Genomic DNA, 23,008 nt, shown 5'->3' with positions numbered 1-23,008 from the left:
GGCAGAAATTGAGATCCTAAAACCATGTGTAAGAGAGAGAGAGGGCAGCCTTTAAAACTAAATCCATACTTAGGCAACGGTAAGCAAATTTTAGCTTTGCTTATTAAAACCATAATTGACTTCTTAAAACGTTAAACTCTCCAAGGATATTTATATTCCCTAAGGTCAAAAGTTCATAATTTATCTTTGAAGGATAAATTCTATCACTGGGCTCAAGGAGGGGACATCAAACACTTTAATCCTATTTTTACCATATTCATCACATTCAACAAAGAAAAGCAGGGAAACAAATGACCACAACCCTGCCACACATGTTAGAAACATCAAGAAATAGAGTTTTCTCGAAATGGTGGAAGCATGCTGGGCTGCCCCCAACACCCATCGCGTACCTCCTCGTATTCAATGCTTTGAGTTCTCTGCTTCCAACATAAATGTACATGTCCTATCAGAGAAGAAGAAACCTAAAATCTACCAGGCATGGTGGGTCATGCCTAGAATCCCAACATTTTGGGAGGCCAAGAAAGGAGAATGGCTTGAGGCCAGGAGTTTGAGACCAACCTGGGCAATACAGCAAGACTCTGCCTCTACAAAACAAAATTTAAAAATTAGCTGAGTGTGGTAGGACACATCTGCGGTCCCAGCTACATGGGAGGCTGATGTGGGAGGATTCCTTGAGCACAGGAGTTCAAGGCTGCAGTGAGCGATGATTGTGCCGCTGCATTCCAGCCTGGACGACAGAGCCAGATCCAGTCTCTTAAAAAAACAAAGGACTGGGACTTTAATCTCACTCAAGGAGATATGTTCAAGAGGGTGGATGTTTTCATAACCAAAAGTTTAAAACAAAAATTTAATTTTGCAAATTAAACCAAGCACATGGTCAAGGTGTCCGTATTCTTCCATAATGAAATCATTATATAATTTCTTAAGAAATGCATTTGAGGCTCCCCTGAGATTTTAATCAAAATAAAATAAAATAAAACCATTAATACAGAAGCATCAATTACTCACATAACAAGGACAATTATCATAGTTGGCAGGGCCCTAAACAGAGGTGGATTGCTACATGCAGGTGAAGCCTCAGGGCCCCTGGCCTGCGCTGGCCCTTCCAGAGCCCTGGGGACCCTGTGTCCATGTGGGCTTCCAAAATGGCAGAACTACGGCACTCTTGCTCTTCCTGGCCAGGGGAAGTTTACACCGCGGCCACCTCCCATCTTGCGTGGCCGCATCCCAGCCCCAAGCCTCTTTGCCTGGGCAGCGTCGTGGGCCTGCAGCCTTGTGCAGACTGCAGAGGGGAAGCTGGACAGTGCGTGAGGCCAGGTATTTCCTGGACCCAGCCATCAGGAATAAACAACCACTTCCCACGACCCAGGCTAAAGGAATGACTGAATTACCTTCCTGTGCAGCCAAAGATGCAGGAAAACAGATGTGTCAGGCAACAAATTAAAAATCAAGTTATTTTTTGAGATTCTGCCACATTTTCAGTTTTTTAAGATTTGTTCTGTTGTGATTTCTTTCTCATACTAAACAAGCAGTCACCCTCATACTTAATTTTGCATTCATGATTTTGCATTCATGATTTTGTACTTTTTTCTTAAGAAGACACTCCCCTCCCCCCAAATCCTAGCTCCTCCCCCAGCACTAAACCCTGCAGAAACGCACAGACTTTTCTAGTCTTCATCCTGATGCCTTTACTGAGGGGCTCTTCGGGGAGGCAGAGCCTGGTCCCTGCCTTGGATAAGATCTTCTCAGTTAGTCTCACTCCAAGAACACACTCCCCCTGTACAGAAAACAAACCAGATATCATCCATGTCGACGCTTTTCCCAGATCACTGTGATTTCATGTCCCAGTTTGCCAATTCTTAGTCATCTTAGAGCTTCCAACGTACCCCGCACAGGTGGCTACAGGAGCTGCCTACGACGACTCTACTACACGTCTACACCTCGCTGGTGGGAGTTCCATCATGAGTCACAGTTGCCCGTGGCAGTTAGAGGGTGTCCAGAGAAATGAGTCTTAGTCTACGTGGCATGTCTGCACCCAGTAGCATCCTGAGTGCCCACGGGGAAACTTCTGCTTCCATCTGTCACGTGCAAGGCTGCAAATACAGCAGTAACCGGTGGGTAGCTGAGGAGAGTTCCAAGCAAAGCATAAGCCTGTTTAAGAAGGCTTCAGTCAGCCTGGCGTGGTGGCTCACGCTTGTAATCCCAGCACTTTGGGAGGCCAAGGTGGGCGGATCACCTGAGGTGCCCAGCCTGACCAACATGGAGAAACCCCGTCTCTACTAAAAATACAAAATTAGCCGGGCATGGTGGCACAGGCCTGTAATCCCAGCTACTCGGGAGGCTGAGGCAGGAGAATCGCTTGAACCCAGGAGGCGGAGGTTGCAGAGAGGCGAGATCACGCCACTGCACTCCAGCCTGGGCAACAAGAGTGAAACCCCGTCTCAAAAATAAATAAATAAATAAATAAATAAATAAATAAATGAAAGAAAGAAGGCTTCAGTCTAATTCATAAATGAGACGCATGGTGAGTTATTCAGAATGAGGACTGTTTCCAAAAACATCTCTCACCCTTGAGCTTGATGTGAGCAAGGACACTCAGCCTCTCCTACAAATACTTGCAGTCACTGGCAAGAGAAAAACAGAAACAAACAGAAAAAAGGTGTGTACATATATGTTTGCCTGTGTGTATATATGTATACACACATATATATGCATGCATGTAAGATATATGACTGTTCTTATTTTATTTTGAAGACAAGGCCTTTCTCGGTTGCCCAGGCTAGAGTGCAGTGGCACAATCATGGCTCACTGCAGCCTCAACTTTATGGGCTCAAGTGATCCTCCCACCTCAGCCTCCTGAGTAGCTGGGACTACAGGCATGCACCACCACATCCGGCTAATTTTTGCATTTTTTGTAGATATGGGGTTTCGCCATGTTGCCCAGGCTGGTTGCGAACTCCTGACCTCAAGTGACCCACCCACCTCTGCCTCCCAAAATGCTAGGATTATAGGCATGAGCTACCGCACCTGGCCTGACTGTTCTTATTTCATACATGGAACATGACAGCAACAGAAAGATTCACACCAAGGTGCAGGAACCGCCCTGACACGCAACTCTCAGTCAAGAACAGATCTCAGGATCCTTTGGCTGAACTCACTGTTGACACGTCTGAAGAAACTGAGGCACTAACGGCCACCCAGAAGCCGCCTAGTGGAAAGGCCAGGGCTCACGCTGCTACCCTGAATCCCAGCCCACTGCTATTCCCCGCCACAACAATCCGAGAAAAAGTCTAGGGAAACAGATGACAAAAACTAAAGCTTTAACAACTTACGGATGGTTTGAGAGGTCAAGGAGTCAGACCTTCCTGGGCTTAACTTACATGACCCTATCTGTCTTACCCTGTAACCTTATGACATCAACCTGTGTGCACTATCTATAGGACCTTAAATTCCGTAAGCCTCACTCTATAAATGAAGAGAATAATAAGATAACTATAAAACTGAAATTATATAATGCAAGTGGAGTGTGTCAGGAATATAGTCAATTCAGCAACTCTAAAATACTTAGTGAGCGCCTATCATTTGCCAGGCAGTACTGCTAGTGTTCCAGACACTACCTGTACAGGCAATGAACAAAACGGACAAAACCCCTGTCCCCATGGAGTTTAAACTCCAAACCTTCTGCTGTTATTATTGTTATAGCTATTGTTATTATTATCAGATATCGGCACTTTGCAAGGGTACACTGAAAACAGAAGAATGCTACAATTAGTATTTATAAAGAATAATGAACGCCATCCCTTAAACGTGTTTTATAATCTAAAAGGTGCCAATGTGACTTTGGGATATGGATAGAAAAGGTGCACCTGACAGCTGTCCATCTTCTTGTCCAGCCCCTTCCCTCCCAGTGAGAGGCACGGGGAAGACGCAGCTACAATGTGGTGTGATTTAAAGAAAGGGGAACCTGTTAGAATTGGGTCTGCCCAAAGAACGCCATCTCCCTCCTGTGATGGCTCGTGGGAAGGTCAGGGGGAAGAACAGCTGAGACACACACCCCTGGTCAGGTGGGGAAAGATTTGGGAGGCCCCAGCACCCTTAGGCACCTGCAGGGCTGCAGGGTGGTGGCCAGCACCCCACAAATGTTACACACGCACACTTCCTATCACGCACACTTCCTATCATGCACGCTTCCTATCACGCAAGCTTCCTGTCACGCATGCTTCCTATCACGCAAGCTTCCTATCACGCACGCTTCCTATCATGCAAGCTTGCTTGTTCAATGTGGGTGTGGAGGCAAGGTCTGAAACGCAGAACCTGAAGACAGTGAAGACAGTGTCAACGCCGCAGCACAGGAGTGGCCTCCCCATCTCAGAATGGAAGAGCTGGCTGGAGAGCAGGAAGGAGCCAGACAGACGCTGGAGGAGGCAGAGGCAAGAGGCAGGTCGCTGCCAAACCACGGGGAGGCATGGAGGAGGAGACGGCTGAGATGAATTGGAAAATGGAATTTTTGTTTCCCATATTCAATCCTGATAACATTTATTTCATTGCTCAATGAAATTTTTACATCCACAGGATGCATAATAAAATATTTCATATGAAGTTAATATTGATAACCACTTCAGTCTTCAAAATACTCCTGCTACACCGTGAGCTCCATTACCTTAAGGACCTTCTTAGCTGCTTTTACTTTGTCCTTGAACTGTCAAGAAATAAGCAAGTACTCAAAATGAGTATGTATTGGATAGATAAACAAATGAATGGGCCAGCAGTTGGAGAAATGAGCACATGAACTCCACAAGGTAGGAATCGGTCCCAGGTATTATCATCCCAATTTATAGTTGAGAAATCTAACAGCAAAAGAAAAGACACACCCTCTCTGCAGGTATAGAGCTGGGAAGTTTTGATGTTGAGGTCAAAGCCACTGTGGGGTTCTTTACCCAATGGCATCAACGTACGACCGGCAGTCCCCCTGGAAGGTTCCAGAAAGGCAAGAATGAGCATAAGGGACCCAACGCCACATGTCAGGAAACCAAGGGGATTAAACGTTTAATGTCAATATTTATTTCTTATTTACATCCCCGCCTTGGTTCCTCCGAGAAGGATTTAAGGCAGCGTGATTTATGCTCAGGAAGGCTGTGCTGATTAAACCCTCACATTCACGCGCAGGAGGTAATGCATGGAAACCTCTCACAACACGGGTGTGACACGCTGACGGCTCACAAGCACCAGGAACCCTGGGGGCTGGGGTCTACACCTTTACTACTGGAAGAAAAAAAGAAAAACTAATGATTATTACTCATCAAAAGCAGTTTTTCAATACACAAAATCTTTCGATGCGCTGGGTCTACTGAGAAAATGAAATAAAAGGCACTGTGGTGCACCACAATATCTACAATTTATTGTAAAACCCATCTAAAATATCACAGAAACAATTCCTCCCTCGAGTGTTTTATGAACAGCAAATGGGAGGAGGAAAAATATTTTTACTGATACCCTTGAACTAAGTTTATAGAAATATGTATGGGTGAACGTGTCATATTTAACAGGAAAGTTAATAGAAATATCCACAACCTCACAGCATTTTTTTTAATTTGAGTTGGTATCCAACCAAATACCATAAAAACACAATAATGAAGACCATCTCATATACAAAAGATGCAAAATTTAATGGGGGGAAAAAAAAACCCCTTCAAATAACCATGCAGAAGCCCTAGCAAAGCAGTTATTATTCCCAGAGCATCGCCACTATCCCATCCTCCAGAACTATGTTTATTATGACTTATTAGATTTTGGAGCAATTGTCCTCTGAAGAGCACAAAATGCTGCAAAATATTATAACTTTTAAAACTGTGCAAAAACTTTACGAGGAACACTTCTAAAGCTAAAGTATCGCTGAAAATTGCCAGAGAAGATGGCAGCAAGAGATAAGGAAGTGGATGGAAAGAAAGACAGCAGGGAAAGGAAAAGAAGGAGTTAAGGAGAGGGCCCAGGGCGGCCGCAGGGAGTAGGTGCGCAGGGAACCCACAATCCCAGTTCTGAATAAAGGGCTCCCAGGCTGCCCCGTTTCTCTCTGGCCCACAGGCTCCGGCTCCAGTCATCATGTATTCACTGGCCGTGTGGCTGTTGCCGTGCAAGATTCCCCCACACTTGCAGAATAGATTTCAGCTTCTCTCTCTGTGTGTAGAGGGGAGCCCATCTAAAATTAGTATCTTCTAAATGATGGTAAATGGAATATAAAGAACAAAGCCTCCAGTGTGGCCCTCCATTTCAAAGAGCTCTGAAGACGGCAAAAAGGGACATCAGTATGTGTGCAAATACGAGTCACCAAAAGGGTTTGTAAAAGCATCTAAAAATCAATTAATTAATCCTCCCAAACCACTGCATAAAGACAGTCTTCCCACCCAGTGAACCGCATCCTCCACAGTGTGCAAGCCGGGCGTGCGGATGCTCGCTAGAAAAAAGGTGCTGCAAGGTAGACTTCGACAATTCAGAGTATGCAATAGTCCTTCCAAGTGAAAAGTGTGAGGAAGCCCCACGTCACTCCTCAAAAAGGAAGGCCACTAGGAAAGGGATTATCAGACCAGCAAACAGGTAGTTTCTCTTTCAGGGTTCTGTAAACGCAGAAGCTATGAGCACTTGCAGATTTCCAACATTAATCCACCAGGCTGACTCATACTATGTCCCCCTACTCCAAAAAATAAAATAAAACAAGAAACCATCCCAACACATCTGTGCTTCTCAGACGTTAACAACTGGTGATCCACACCCAACACACATAACATCGGCATCCATCTTCTTATATTTCTTAAAGAGCTGACATGATTGGCAGGGTGCTCTTTTTAGTATTGTCACTATATTTATACATTCACCATGAAAATCAGCAGAAACATCCTGGAACGTTGTTAGGGGAAGTTTTCAGGTTTTTCCTAAGTAAAGTGTGCCATAATACTAATTCCAAATTCCCCCAAAAGTGAGAAAAGTTTGTACTTTATAAGACTCATGAGAATATACTGGGATGTAAAATATGTTTCCACAGTTCAATGATTTAAAGAGATAACGGAGCAGACTGCAGATATAACTGATATCACTTTTATATGTGAACATGGGAGAAAACTCCAAAGAGAACTCCTACGACACAGAAAACTATGACAGCAGCCGGGAGTTCCAGAGCTGCTGAGGCTGTGGCCCAGCTCATAACTGCTCCCAGGCTGCTGGACACAGGCAGGCTACCAGCCCTACAGAAATAGGGACAGGCATCCTGTGAAATGGGCTGTGCACCAATACAGACCCCCAGTCCCTTCACCACAGGCAGCCCTGAGAATTGGAAGAGTCTTCCTAACTGTGCGTGGCAAACTTAACCTGACCAGAACAGACATGAGGTTACTGCCAGTCTTTCCTCACCCAAGTATTGTGACTATTAATCCATTTATCTGTAGAAAATCTCATGTTTAAGCTGAGGATGTTGCAAAATATACAGTATATGCACTAAATTTCTTTTCAAAAATCTGAAAAGCTCTGAATTCCAAAACATATCTGGCCCCAAGGATTTCAAGTAAAAGATGTGGGACCATCTTTAAAATGTGAATGAACTGGGGGCACACTCCACTTCCTTCAGGGTTTACCTGGAGTCCAGAAATAGAACTGGCGCCTGAAAAGCCTAGATCAGAAAACTCTCTTTTCCAATGTGCAGAACTATCTGTCAAAAGGACGTGTTTCAGACCCTCAGAAATACCTACTAAATAAATAAGATATATATATCTCTCTCAATGCAAAGTTGAGAAAGACAAACCTAACTCCAAATTAAACTTATTTTAGACTTTCCAAAATACATGCAAAACATCTTACAGCTACATGGTCTAAAAGGCCATCAGCAAAATCAAGTCCATTGAAACTATCAAATGTAAAAAGATACTAGTATACAACACATAGTCCCCTAAAATTTGGCTTTATTGGTGTAAATTATCTGTGTAGACGCATTAAAACTCAACTGAGAGGCAAAGTAAAATTCCTGCTTGAAAGATTCAAAATGAGGGAAATCTAGCCTCAATTACTAAAAAAAAGTCCGGGCGCAGTGGCTCACGCCTGTAATCCCAGCACTTTGGGAGGCTGAGGCAGGTGGATCGCCCAAGGTCAGGAGTTCGAGACCAGCCTGACAAACATGGAGAAACCCTGTCACTACTAAAAATACAAAACTTAGCCAGACATTGTGGCCTGTAATCCTAGCTACTCGGGAGGCTGAGGCATGAAAATCGCTTGTAATCCTAGCTACCCAGGAGGCAGAGGTTGCAGTGAGCTGAGTTCACACCACTGAACCCCAGCCTGGGTGACAAAGCGAGATTCTGTCTCAAAAATAAATAAATAAGGCATCACATGCACTTATTTTCCTTCCTAGGGATAATTTTTGAAGCCCTGTGAAGATCTAAAATCGCAGAGTGGGCCAGGCATAGTGGAACACACCTATCATCAATCCCAGCACTTTGGGAGGCCAAAGCGGGAGGATCACCCAAGTCAGGAGTTAGAGACCAGCCTGGCCAACATGGTGAAACCCTGTCTCTACTAAAAATACAAAAATTAGCCGGGTGTGGTGGTGGGTGCCTGTAATCCCAGCTACTCAGGTGGCTGAGGCAGGAGAATCGCTTGAACCCAGGAGGCAGAGGTTGCAGTGAGCCAAGATCATACCACTGCACTCCAGCCTGGGGACAGAGCGAGACTCTGTATCAATAAATAAATAAATAAAATTGCAGAGTGCAGGCAGGAAACACTGTTTACACATGAGCCAGCAAGGAACAGCTATCTAGAAATGTCTTCTTGGGGTCAACAATGCTAATGAGACTCACAGTGTTCTGGTGTAGTGGACAAAAATACAAAGATCTGGGGAGAAGCCCCAGGCCAGAGAAGGACTCACACCAAGCAACTGTGGAAATGACCTCCGAAGGACCATGCCCCAGGCAGGATCACAGTGTTGTGGTAATGGGCAAAGGCAGCCTGGCTCCAGGGCCACACCCGCCTGAGCTGCCCCTGCCAGCACAGCAGCCTGAGATCTCAGCAGAGGGAGCAAGTGGGCACCACCTGGGCACCCACTCTGTGCCAGGCTTGGGGCCAGGCACCTACAGCGCCTCGTGTGCCCAGAGCCTGTCAGGCCCACGCACAGTTCCCACCCTCCACCACTGGAGAGAAACTGCATCTCCTCACATGCCACCCACAGCCAACCCAAAAACACCATCAGGCTGGCCTCCAGCCTGGGATGCACATTGAGAAATGCTGATATTTGGTTTTTCCCCACAAGGGAACTGACAGGTTTTTTTTAACTGGCTTATTTAAATATTATAAATCAAGTGGTTCACCTCCCATCCACTGATGGCACTTACTTCTATAATCCATCCCATGCAGCTTGCATAGGGAACTTGGGTAAAATACAGCGTTGGAAGAGTATCTGTGAGTTTCCAGTCAAGTAATTTTCCACACCCTCCTTTGTTCTTATTTGTCTTGTAATAGCCAGGAAGGGTTCGCACCACTTCCACAAATCACGGGGAAGTCAGGGGAATCGGGGAAGAAGACGACGTCTCTTTAATTTCGCACGCATGATGTTTGCAACCACTAAGGTCATACCTGCGTGTGGTGACTGACAACTTTTCAGCTTGATTCAAAGCAAACAGCTGCTGGGTTGATTGCCTAGCAACTAAAAATTGATGGATGACCCTTAAGATGAATAACTACCATAAATCACCTCATTCAAACTCTCCAAGAAAAAAATTAAAAAACAATGGTTTTCATGACATTTGCTGAGCTCCATAATGTGCCGTGATAAATTTGGCCTCCTTATGGATGCACAGTTGTGGCTGCGAAAGTTGAGTCACTTCTGTTTTTGTTTCCTGTTTCCTGTATTTCCTGGCACTCAGGACCCTCCGTAAGGTGCGCTCCTAGGAACACGCTGCTCCAGCAGGGACGGCAGCTCTGGGTGCCTGTCAGTCACTCCAGGACGGACAGGAGCTGCTGAATTTCTCATCACCAAACAGCTTTTAATCAGGAAACGGCAGTCCTACATCACAAAGATGGCAGGAGACCCTGTGCATTAATAATGGTTACAATACATTTAGTGTAATGATTTGACCTCGGCCAACACTATAGATGCCATGATTCATATGAATTTGATAAACTACTTCCTGTTTGTAGACATGTCATATGTTCCTAAAAGGCCAAGAATGTGCTTTTAACTTGCAAATAAACACAGACCTATAAACCATAATAGGATTGAGAGGATGTCTTGGTATTTGTCCTCTAAAATACCCAGTATCACCACCATTATGAGCATTTCCACAAGTAGATGTATAATGATGAACAGATTACTTTTCCAGATGGTATTTTCCTGTTTTTACTTAACATTCAAAAGGAGGCATGGGCAATTCCTTTCACCATCTTTCTTTGCCCCCTTTTCTTGTTACACTGGGTTTTGTTTGTTTCTTTTAGGTTAGATTGATGTTACATGGAAGGTAGCTTCCAAAAAAACCAGTCCACTGCCTGACTTGGGTTAGCACTTTGAAACCAAAAACAGCTTCCTGCTTTCTTCTTTCACCTACTATCGCCAGCACCCAGGGTCGGCACGTCATAGACCGCATGTCACAGACTGTCACACTCACCTGTCCTCGCAAGAGCCAGGGCTTCCCCAAGGAGGGGCTTCAGTCCCTCAACAAGCACCGGGAGCTCTGACTATGAGCCAGGAACCGTGCTGGACTCTTGACAGTGGAAGGAGAACAAGATGGCCCTGCCCTTATGGAGCAGAGTGCCTACAAGGACGTGAACAAGTCAGTGAGCAATCACATAGACAGAGACAGGTGCTCCGATGGGTCCCCCTGCATGGTGCATACAGTGTGGGCCATTATACTAGAAAGCAGTTCACACCATCGGACCGGAAGCTCCCAGAGATGAGACGCATCAATCCTGGAAAGAAAGTTACTTTCGTTTAACAGACTGTACAATTCCAAGAAACCTTCCCTATTTAAAAAGCCAAAGAGGGCTTTTAGGCTCTGCAGTGCAAGCCACACTCTCTGAGCATCAAAGCTGAGGTGGGCTTTGAGGAGGGCCGGCAGGTCGGGTGGCACCCACCCCCAGATTGCCCTGGGATGGCATGTCACATGGCTGCACGCAGGCCAGGGCAGCACGCCCAACACCTGCCCCGCCCAGGGCTGACTGTGGCCAACCCCTCACTCACTTTGAGAGCTCCTCTATCCACCATATGCAACAAAACCCCTGAAATGGAAAGATGAAATAAAACAACATTAGCAACAAATAAAACGCCTTAGGGGCCAAAGGGCCATGACCTAAGCCACTAATAGCTACCAGCAGCCCCAGGTTTCTGGTACATGAAGCATCTCGTTAGAAATAAAGTGGGATGCCCCTTGTTCCCTGGTGTCTGAGTGAATGCCTAGATGCTGGGATCCGTGCTCCTGGAAGAAAGGACAAATGCACTAGACCATCTCCACCATTTTCAAGGACTAGAGATGTGAGGACCAACCGTTGAGAGGTTCAACTTTGGATACACCATCCTGTATACCCAGCTCCCTTAGAACCAACTCCCTACTGAGCAAATGTCAATAGCGCTGCCATCCTGAAGCAAAATGAAAAAGACTGATATTAATTAGGTCAACAAGACTGCTTGTATTGCATATGCTACTACCTTTAGGCACACAAGGATAACTGTGCGTTCTCCCCACAGCATCATGCTCCTGACACGGGAGAGCCTGGGCTTCATTTGTCTTCCTAAATATAAATGGCCGCTATCTGTAGCACTTAGGAGAGGTTAGCTGGCTTCAAATAAATAGCATCTTAACTGCTGCCCTGATAATGGTGAGCTCTGGGGTACATCTCCATTTCTAACCCTATCAGGGTCCTATAAGGATGGCGAGGAGGAGATCCATCTGGAAAGCCATCTTTAATGTACATGTCTATGGCCAGAGTCTGTTGCACCATTCACGCCTTCTCAGCATTTTTGCCTGGGCTCTGACTGCCCTTGGTAATGCCTTCCCGGGTGGAACCCACAGAACAGGACCACTGGCATGCTGTCTCTTTAAGACTGAAATGCTTGTTTCCTTGCAGTAAGAAAAGTAAATCACGCTATAGTGAGTTGAGCTTTGAAAAAAGCATCCATCCATTAAAATTCATGGATCCGCGTTTTCAGGTTGTCCCTCCCCTGGCTGTGTCTCAAGTTACAGCCTTGTACAACCCAAGTCTAAATAATATTCACCATGATAAATGACACCATAACTCCGATATCCACAATCAATCTTTGCTTTAAAGATACATCCATCTTCAATAATGTTGATGGGGATTCTGCAAAATGGGGAACGTGACTGTCTTCCAGACCTCCTAACGGCGGGGGAAGGAAGCCCTGAGTGATGGCTGTCAGCCCACATCTGGCTGCAAAAATAAATTAGCCTTATGCAGAAAAATGAAAGGGCTAGCTCCGCCTAGGAAACAGCCACTCCTGAGCAATGGCTAATTTATAGGACTTCTTTCTGGAAAGTTCCTGGCGAAGGCAACAGTCTCCTTCACTATCTCTTTAAATGGTATCTGATGCTGTAAATAACTTCAGTGTGGTAGGGACTGTACGAAGTACAAAGGGGTGGGGATGAGAGAAACAATAACTTTTCTCACATTCTCACACATGATTACAATGCAAAACTCTACTCTTCAAGAGAAAAAAACATTTATTTTAGCCAAATGCTTTTATATTTTCACAGCATGCTCTCCTCTGGCTGACTTTTTTTTTCCTTTGCACTTTCTGGTGGTTTTCTAGTGGTTTGGGAACTTATATAAAAAGTAAACAATCTGGGGGCAAAAATGGCCCTTTCTCTTCCTCCTCCAAAATATCCTTTTTTAGCAACTTTTAGACTCGAACCTCATCACTGTCTTTATGCAGGCGGGAATGGGGTTACAAATTCTAGGCAACAGAGAAAAAGAAGAAACATCTATCGGGTTTAGTAGGTGGTTTCAAAAATAGCCTGGAGTAAAACACTTATTAGGCAGACTCTAAAAAAAAAAAAAATAGAAGACCAAACTTCTGCCGCAGGAGTGGGGGACCTATGAATTTGGATACCAGGGAAATGCTTTGCTGCTGGTTCTTTATGCCTCTGACCTTGTCTCACTGAGTATTACTCAGGGCTTGAATCCTTAAAGCCTGCTAGAAAGTGGGGAGATGCAGGGGCACCTGGGTCATGCTTTCTGCACGGAAAGCCGGGACTCCATGGGGTGTCCCTACAGAGCCGGGGGCTTGTGTGTTCCTGGGCTTGGAACAATCACTCCTTTGGGTCTCAGAACCTTCCCAGGCAGGACCTCGGAGCTGTTGCAGCGGGCTGAGGTGGGGAGGGTTAATTCTGTGAAGGTTGAAGGACTTACAGTAATGCTCTGAAGACAGAAACATCACAGGCTTTCCTGGCAAGGGGCTCACAGAGGGTAGGAGGGACTGCAAAATGAACTCTCTCAGGCTTTGTCGGCGGCGTTTCCCAAGGCCCGGCCTGGCCCCTTTGATAAATGACACATGTCATTCTGTCAGGGGCTGACACTGCGGCTGGGAGGGCTGGTGATGCATGGCTCCAGGGAAAAGGAAATCAACTTTTTGGCATCGAGTGTGTCTGTGCCCTGTATGAGGATTTTGTTTCTCCAAAAGTGAAAGATAGACTTAGGATTTAAAAAAAAAAAAAAAAAGTTGAAAAACAGATTGAACGACAGCTTACACTTAACATAAATTAACTCAGTAATGGCGAAATGTGCTAGCCTGTGATAAATAAAAGCTACATTAGTCAATTATTAATCACACTCTAACTTGTAGCCAGACCCATGACTTAAATCTGGGGCCTGAGCTGCTTTACAAACAGATAAGACAGTGCCTGATAGGCGTCTTCAGAGAGCAATCAAGAAGGAATCAAAGATTTCATGGGCTCACCAATGGGAATTAATAGAAGGTTCTAGAACCACAGAGTTGGGTGAGTGGGGAGCAAGAAAGGACCAATCCTTTGCAGACACAGACTATCTACTGACTGTGTGAGGAAAATTAAACATAACGGCTACATCCAAATACTTTTTCCTCCCCCATCAGGACTTATTTGCTTTGAATATGCAAGACATTTGTACACTGCAAACATATGTTTATATTTGATATAATGTTTATATTTGTAAGATTTTGCCTTGAAAATATGTTGCAGTTTTGCCCCCACACCTACTGAGTTGCATCGTTTGAATCTGATGCCTGCTAAGGGGATTTTCCTAGAGATAGCACTAATTTCCAAACTAATTGCTTAGCACAGATTTATAAATTCAGCTTCACATTTTACCAAACAAATTGACATTTGACATCCACATACACAAAAACAGGGCAAAGTGCAAACCTGCCTCTCCACCAAGTGGCTCTCTTTTGGCTCCGTTCTAAGCAACCCATCCAAAGAAAAATCAACATGGAGAAGCTACTCTCAAAAAATGTATGGCTTTGAGGTATCGCTATTCTTCATAATAAAGAACATTAAGTAAAACCCGCCACCGAGATATAGTCTTGCATTAACTGCTGTCTGCTGTGCTCAGGATGGCGTGCGAGCCCACCAGCACCTCTCCTTGGGAAAACCTTTCCCCTTCAGGCTCGGAATGTGGAGGATGGTCAGCTGTCTCATTGTCGGCCCTACTTGATGACGAGTTGATTTCCACGACAGTGGGGCTCTAATTCCTAGTTCTCAGAAGACCTGCTGAGGCTGTGGGGGACTTCTGATGTTCCAAAGGGCATGCTGAGGTTGTGGGGCAAGCGTACAGAGATGGGCCAGCTCACAGTCAGAAGAAAGCGGCGTGGACAGGCCATCACGCTGACACACGGACAGAAGCGATCACATCTCCAACTCTCCCGCGAGCTCCACGCCATGCTCACCTACCGCCAGGCCTCACTCACAAACAGTAGGTGTTCAAGAAATTGCTGAATTCAATTCAAAATATTTAATTTTTCTTTAAAAAGCTATAGGCAAGTTTCCAGCCCCATCATCCATGATTGAAGGTGCCCAGAACCGAGGAAGCATTTCCTAGAGGCCTGTGCGCCCACCATGCACGTCCACACCCAAGAACACCCCTTGTGCAGCTTCCACGTCCCACGTGCACTGACATGTCTCCATGTGCCTTGACATGAAAATGGCAGGAGGGCCCAGAAGTTGTTGATTTCAGCTTATTTCCAATTTCATAAGTAGAAATAAACTCAAATTTTACCAAAAGCAAATTCTCTAAGTACAACCAGCTTTTCTAAGAAAGAAAAAAAAAAAGGACAGCTGTTGCTTCATGACGGCGACTTCCTCCAACTCAGGGGTGCTAAAGATGGGTGCAATGGATCACATGGTTGTAGAATAGCACGCGTTAGGAATTCTCTAATAATATAAGCCCTTTGTTTACAGAGAAGGAAACTGAGGCTTGAGAAAGAACAGGGAAAAAGAGATTAATGAAAGAACAAAGACCCAGGCCTCTACCCTACATCCAATGCCCGCCGCACCCCTCCCCACCACCCTGTATCCTATACTGTGTGCAAGCATTGATTCAAAGTCAACCTTCTGAATTTAAACATGGACAATTAACAGGCAGGCTCCAAATCGAGTCCAAATGTTTAAAATAGCCGATAAAGCCAGTGGTTTCTTAGATGGCTATAAATAAGAGTATTGCGGGGAGGGGGGGATCATACATTAAAATCTGGGCTGATGTTTAAACTTCTCCCTTCCTCCAGCTGAAATATAATTTTTCTTTAGTCCATAAAAAATTCAGATAGTGTGCAGAATGTTTATATATTACCAAGGTCTCTCTTTAAAAGGTTTATACTTTTACTTTATGACCTGTCCTTGATTTGACACTTCCGCTCATCAGAAAGGGATTTATAAAATAATCCTGAAGGTGAGGAACAGACATCTGTCAGGGACTAGCTGGGTTTCACGATGCGAAATTTAAGAAGAGAAAGAAATCCTGTTAAGCTCTCTTTAGTCACCAATAGACATCAAAGGTAATAATTAAAGAAGACAGACGTCATAAAACATAAATTTATGTCTCTTTTAATAATGCACAAGCACCGTAGTGTGTAAAACATCTATTAGGTTGAAAGAACATGAAAGCGTTCCAATAAGAAAAATCTATGTTTTGTTTTGGGGTATTTTCCCTTCCTTTAAAAAAAAAAAAAGTGAGGATCTTTTTTTTTTTTTTTTTTTACAAGTTTAAACTGAAGTCTTTCAAAACCTTTGCCATCTGTGGGTACATGAACTATGAATGACCCCGAATGATTTGCACTCTGCTCAGAATCCCTTAGAAAGCACGGGAAAAAGTATCATTAAGAATGACTGATGACTGTCAGTCATGGTTGACCTCATCCAGGCTTTGGTCTCTGCCTCAGTAATAAGCTGGCCTTTATTAGTACCAACACTCCATAAAGGGGGTGTGTTTAGTCACAGGATAGCGGCCTTCTAATGCCCATTGCTTCTCTCTGGAAGATTGATTAGTGCTCATTTTTACTGCTTTCCCAGCACATGCAGGGCCAGGGCTGCAGAGAATCAGGCCTGCAAACTACAAACTCGAGTGAGGAGGTGGGAAAAGGATGCCTAGCAAGAGAGGCGGGGTAGGGAGTGGGGGACAATTTTTTTTTTTTTAAGGAATCTGTCTTTCAAAAAAGCCCCAACCACAAAACCATATGTATATTCGATTCCAGGGCCTGGAGAAGACAGGCCAGGAAAGCAACTGTCTGTTGAAATGGAACTGAAGGAGCCACTTATGTGTTAACTTGTCTGAAAAACAGAAGGGGATCCTGGCCTGCAACTCCCTCTCTCTAAAATCAGCAGTTAGGTGCAAATCAATGAGGAGGCTGCCTGCAGAATTAGGCCTCATAACCAGCCTGACATCAAAATACAAAGATGTAATTATTACCCATTAAAACTGAACATGTGTGAAACTAAAAAAATCTTCCCTATACGAGCACATAAAAACCCATCCACTGCTTTTGTATTAAACTACTAAATTATTTTTAAGAAGCAATTGCTATAGAAACAGACAAACGAATTTATATATATATAATTTCCATGTATCCCTAAATCCCTTGTACCGCCTCCACTCTCGTTGAGATAACTGAGTGCCGTGAATTCCCAAGAGGAAGAACGGAGGAATAAATGTATTATTATCTTCATCATCACCCTCACACCCATCATGAGATATCAAGTACCGCAGTGCTGGGAGGCAGGGAGGTGTACCACAGAATACTCCGAGCAGGTGCTCTACAGAACAAATGAACGGAAGGATCCCATGTGGATCTCCTCCATTCCAAATATGTCTATAAACAAATTTAGCTCACAGGGTGATTAATTTGCAGAGACCCTTTGGGAATAGGCCAGACTCTCAGTAGTCTAATGCCTTTAGCCAGTTACTCCCAGAAATTTAGCCAAACACCACAACAAGATCCTACTTTCAGAAAATTGCTTGAGAACCTTGGGATTAGGTTACCACGTACACGGGCACCTACTGGATTCGAATGTGTCTCCACAAAAAATAGGGGGGTGGAGGGGGCAGTCTTTGAGAACTGGGTTTAAACATAGTCTGCCTGGAGCAAATAGTTAGCATCTCATTTTGCATAATTTAGAATAAGCCAGAGAGGAGGAGGACGAAAACCCCCTCCCATGATCTCAGGACAGGGTGGCTGTCACCAGCATTGAACCTGAGCTCCTGGAGTGCTCAAGCCCCGGACCATCCCTCGACCCCATTCCACCAGCTTCTCGGAGCTCTGCGTAGAGAGAGGAGGAGGAGTTGAGAAAAAAAAGGAGACAACGATCTTTTGTGAACATCGCAGTTTTAAGTTAGTTCTCCTTGAAAGCTTTTGAGACACTAATTTTTCCAGTTATCGAAAAGTAGGGAGAAAAGACAAGTTACAAACTCCCTCTCTGCACCTACTCTCCACCTAGGTATGAGATCCTTTCTGCTTCCTTTTTCTAAAATAAATTCTCATTACTGATTTTAAATTGACAAATAATACCAGTTCAATACCTGCTTAAAAAAAAAAAAAAGTCAGGCAACTTTTCCACTGCAAAAATAAAACGCTGCAAGGTAGCACAACCCCCCTCTAACCCAAGCACACAAGCCACGCCGCTACACAACACAGACCTTTGTGCGCGGCTTCCTTTTAAAACCGCCAGTGCGCTATTTTCATTAAGAATATTAGTGTTTCATATACAGACAATGCACCAAGCACTAACAATCTGAATCACTTCCTGGCTGACTTAGAATATTTATTTCCCATTACTTTCTAGAGTTATAGCAGCTTCCCTCAATTTAAGAATTTTAAAATATATACATATATATTAATCTATATACATATGTATATATTCTCAAAGTTTGGAGGCAGTTCAAGGAGATTTGTGCACAGCACAGTAATGCTGAGGTGTTGTTTATGGTCATATTATTTGCCCGGATTTGGCTTTTCTCGATGCCAGGACCTTCCCAGGTAACAATAAAGCAAGGCAGGAGAAAACAGACATGTTTTACTGTTATTTTCATGTAGCTAAGAACTGAAGCAGGGCAGGCTCTTATAGAGTATTACACAGTTTACTGCATTAATAATAGGATGCCCTACTGCTGTGACACATTCTGTACTTGAAATAAATATTAGTCACAATACTTGTGCTTTAAATCCATATATTTTAAAGCCAGCTATAACAATGACACAGGCACCAGGGATGACTTGCCAATAAGGCATATTAACCACTTTGAAAAGAGCCTTCACTTCAGTTCAGCATTCATTGGTATGTCGTACCATTTCTTGCTATGAATCTTGCAGCTGGCTTTTAAAAATAGTAAAATGTAATAAATACAGGTTTCTGAAAAGTTCACATTCCCAAGTCAGAATGTATACTGACCTTCACTGCTGATTTAATTTATTTCATCATATGATCTTGCTGAAGATGCACTTTACTTTTAACTAAAAACTGAGGATATTTTTTATAACCAAATTTTCTAAAACTCGAGTCAGCCTGTGCCCATCACTCGCTCCTATAGATCCATGCCTTCGTGCCTGCTTTAAACTGGAATTTATAAGCATGTAAGTACTTGACCTATATTTACCATATACTAGAACACACCTTTTAAAATCGCAGCTAGCAAGTTGAGGCAGAAATGCCTACATCTCAAATTTGGAAGTGCACATCCGATTCAGTATGTAGATGGCTAACGCGGGCTCTGCTGGGAGGCAGAGCCTGGGAGCAGCCTGTGCCCAGGAGCTTGGAGGGATTCTACTTGGCTATTTTCCTGCAGAATGCGCCACGATCACAAGAGTGAGGAAATCCTGCCTTATATTTTGCAGAGAAAATAAAAATGGTAAAAATCTACAATAATGTAATTGATTCTTGACTTTTTTCCTTTAAAAACACAAGACAAATCCCTGTTCCTGTTGGCACAGAATTTCAGAAAGACACAATGGACATAGAAAGAAAAAAATGTCTATCATCTAAGAAAACTGCTTACTGCTGCAGCAGTGTGGTGGATGAACAACAAAAGCAAATCCAGAAACGAGAGCCTGGAAAACATGAAAAGGTTAAACAAGCGGCTTAGCGAATAGGCCTTCCTAGGAAATATGAAGTGAAAAGAACATCACAGTTGTGATTTCACCTTAATGTTTTAGTTTTATTTTACTGTAAGACAATGGAATCTATAAACAGTTTAACCCTAATTAAAATACAAATCCAATCCAGATATTCCCAAACCAGAAAATCCAAGCAGGTGATTTAATGAAGGAAGTACCAAAGCATAACTGAGCTCAAAAATCTCTCAAGAAATGATCCTCTTTTCCTTGCCTGACAATAACCATTAAAAATGGTAACAGGAGGCCTGTTTATTCCAATTCTCAGTAAGCCACACTGTTAGGTTTTTCTAAGTACATAAATTTAACAATATATTTCTCCAGTGAAGTTAAAATGTAAAAAAAGAGTCGGTTCAGGATGCTTATCTCTATGCAATTCACTATTTCCTATGTCCCCCAAGAAAATAGGCACACACGCAAAAAAATTAATATTTTGTTTGAGTTGCTGTCAACTAGCACTTTAGCCCTACATGGAGCACAGTGTTTTAAATGCAGAAGGACCTTGCCCGCAAGCCTAAGTCTTTAGGTTTTCATGCTTCCGGAAGGGTTCTCTAGTAGTAAATATTAACACTGGATTTTAAAATGTAACAAAACTCCTCTTTATGCGGTGTTCTGGGGAAAATGTGTGAGGCCTCTTACTCCTGACAGTCCTGAGGTTTTTCTATTTCAGTGTGGGGTGCATAAACAATTGGACACCATGGCATCACAACCCCGGGCTTGGTCACATATGACTGTGCATGTATCACAGGTGCCTCCATATCTACAGGTATGAGAACAAGTCCTGTTCTGCACACCTACGCGTGCCTTCAGCACGTAACCAGCAGGCAGTACAAAGTACACTTACACACATATACAACTCGTGTCACGTGTGCAAAGAATGACCCTCATTTATTTTCTTATTAGAAACATTTCTAGCAATGAGACTGCATCAGATTATCACTGCTATTAAAAAGGCTTTTATATTCCTGAAGAATACTGCGTTGTTGTGGGGTTTTTCCCCCAAAAAGTCTAAAGAAAGAGTTCAAGAATATTTTTCTTTAATCTAAGTCTGTAGCAAAAAGCAAAGACTGCATGGCAAAGACTACAATTATTCTATAGCAAGAAAAAAACCCTGAACTACTTCCGATTTAACCTTTACTTCCACCTAAGTGATGTCATAACAATGGTGCTTAGTGTATCTCAAGGACAAATGATCATGGAGGCTGTCTACAATTCCAGGAGTGTTATCGCTCCTGCAAACTGCTGTCCCAAAAATTATATTCATTGCTTTTCAAAATGTTATCAACTTAATAAATAAATACCTTCCTGGGTGAAAAATACAGTGGTACTTTATTTTGTTTGTAAGGGCATCCTCTATCAACCCTATTGATAAAAACTTAAAAAATTACCTGTTTCTACTCTGCCCAGCTACACCTTTTATTAAATCTATCAAACATGCTGATATTTACATTTTACAACCCTGATCCCTTAGATCAAATTATTTCCTTTAGCATTCTCTTCTGTCAGCAACCTACTGTCACCCTTAATCAATACTAAAATATTATGTCATTAAAAAATTATTTCAACTGTTTCAATCCCTTCACCATGAAGGTATTCACAAGGATTCTCAATGCTTTATCACAAATAAATTTTGTCTTCAGTTATTTTCATTCTTAATATTCTGTGCCATTATCTATTTTTATTGTTGTCATGAATGGTATTCTTGACTCAAAAAAATTTGAGTAAAAAAAAAATATACATGTTCACCATTCTTTCGACCAGGAAACAGCCCTCCCAGCAAAGAGTATTGACTGACTACTCTCTTGTGGTCAGGTAGGGTCTGGGAGGCTCCGCCTCATCCCTAAGAAAGTTCCAATAAAACACTTGCTGTTCTTTGTCCATTGTGAACTTGAGCCTTGTCCCGGAGTAATTTACCATTTACTTTTTATAGGCTTTTCCGAGAGGAACCAAGAAAACAATAAGAACTGACGTGGGTGCAGGCTGCTAGGGTGGAACGGCTCCCCCCAGCCCGGCCCCCACAGTGTACAGGTGCAGGTGTGGCTCCTGCCCTTGGCTAAGTGGGGCTTGTCTAGTTAACGACTTACAATGATGAAAGTGTTTTGAACCATAGTCTCGTAGAAGATTGTTCTAGACCTGGCCTCTCAGGGAACATATATCCACCCTTAGCTGGGCATAGGCACATTTAATCAGCAGCTAATAACTGTACAGGAGGAGCTGTTCCCCTTCATAAATCAATGTGCAAAATTGCTAATACACTAGTTATCGATTAGCACACCAACACTCATTTTGAGGCTATAGCTAAGAACTAACAAAGTGACAAGGGTAAAGTGTTATTTCTTTCACACGCAGACAGCTGGGCTGGAAAAATGACTCCAGCAGGCAGTAATTCTTAATTGACACCTGTCAAGATAATGGCAGCAGTCACAGCTGCTGTAGGAGAATTTGTCCCTCGCCCTGTTCATCTGTCAGCTTTAATACCCTTCCTATGCACATATTTTTTTCCTTTGCTCTAATCTACCTAAATTGTCCTGGCTTTTGTTTGAAACCTGGGTTTTGGTAGCAGTTAATCCCTTCCTAATATCTGCCCCATCTATGATTCAACAATAGTGCACATCTTACACATAAAGTCAAGGCATTAGGGCTTGATTACACAAATGAAAAGGTGGGAGGTGGGGAAGAGAGGAAAACATGTACCTAAAAACAGAAAGAATCCCCCTGGGTAGCACACCTCTTTAAGTTTTCAGAATATTTTTAAATTTTTATGTTCTTTGAGGTTTCTTTTTATAACAATCGACCCAATATCCATTCTCTTCATGAGATATAAATGTCATTATTCTGTCATCACTGTGAGTGCTAGCTACCACTTGAGAATACTCAATCTCCCTAAGTCCCTTCTTTCCACGATCAACATAACAACATGCTCTTCGTGACACGCCATGCAGGTAGAAACCCATATACATAATATTTTGCATGAAACATAAAAGTCTTGCATTATTAAAGTTGCGGTCTAGCAAGAGCGAACGCAGCCCAACAAAGGCACAACCACACAAGGATTCCTTTCTCCAAAAAGAAAACCTGGTTCATTGTTTTCTTAAAAAGGATAAACCAGAAGATATCATTTACAACTTTGTTCTAATGCCTCCAAAGTACAGTCTTTACTTTCCTTTCTGCCTAGTAAAACAAACAAGAAACCAAAACAAAACAAACAAAAACACTACTATGACAAGTGCTCCATTTGGTCTATAAAATAAAAAACAGAAAGTAGAAAAAAAAAACCCTTGGAGGAGGGGAGAGGGGACAAACTAGTTCTATTATTCGATTCAGAATCCCTTACAGGTTGTCAAGTTGTTGTCTTCCTAAAAGAAAATGATTATCGCAAGTGTTCTTTGCAAA

General features: G+C 43.2%; 1 protein-coding gene across 2 annotated transcripts in view, besides 1 other annotated feature; it reads right to left on the bottom strand.

The window, feature by feature from the left end:
- The window catches only part of TSHZ1 (teashirt zinc finger homeobox 1), a 79,148-nt gene that overhangs the window by 49,672 nt on the left and 6,468 nt on the right, over positions 1-23,008 (bottom strand). The window lies entirely within an intron of this gene.
- Positions 3,738-4,937: an enhancer, noted in NCBI's record as "BRD4-independent group 4 enhancer chr18:72947291-72948490 (GRCh37/hg19 assembly coordinates)". NCBI's record gives its function as "activates an origin of replication core promoter dependent on BRD2, P300/CBP, MED14 and CDK7 cofactors, and independent of BRD4, by STARR-seq in HCT116 cells {active_cell/tissue: HCT116}" and the evidence as "EXISTENCE:reporter gene assay evidence [ECO:0000049][PMID:35650434]".

Source organism: Homo sapiens, chromosome 18 (assembly GCF_000001405.40).
Source record: "Homo sapiens chromosome 18, GRCh38.p14 Primary Assembly".
In the NCBI taxonomy this organism is placed as follows: Eukaryota; Metazoa; Chordata; class Mammalia; order Primates; family Hominidae; genus Homo; species Homo sapiens.
This window is presented reverse-complemented; position numbering and strand designations above follow the sequence as displayed.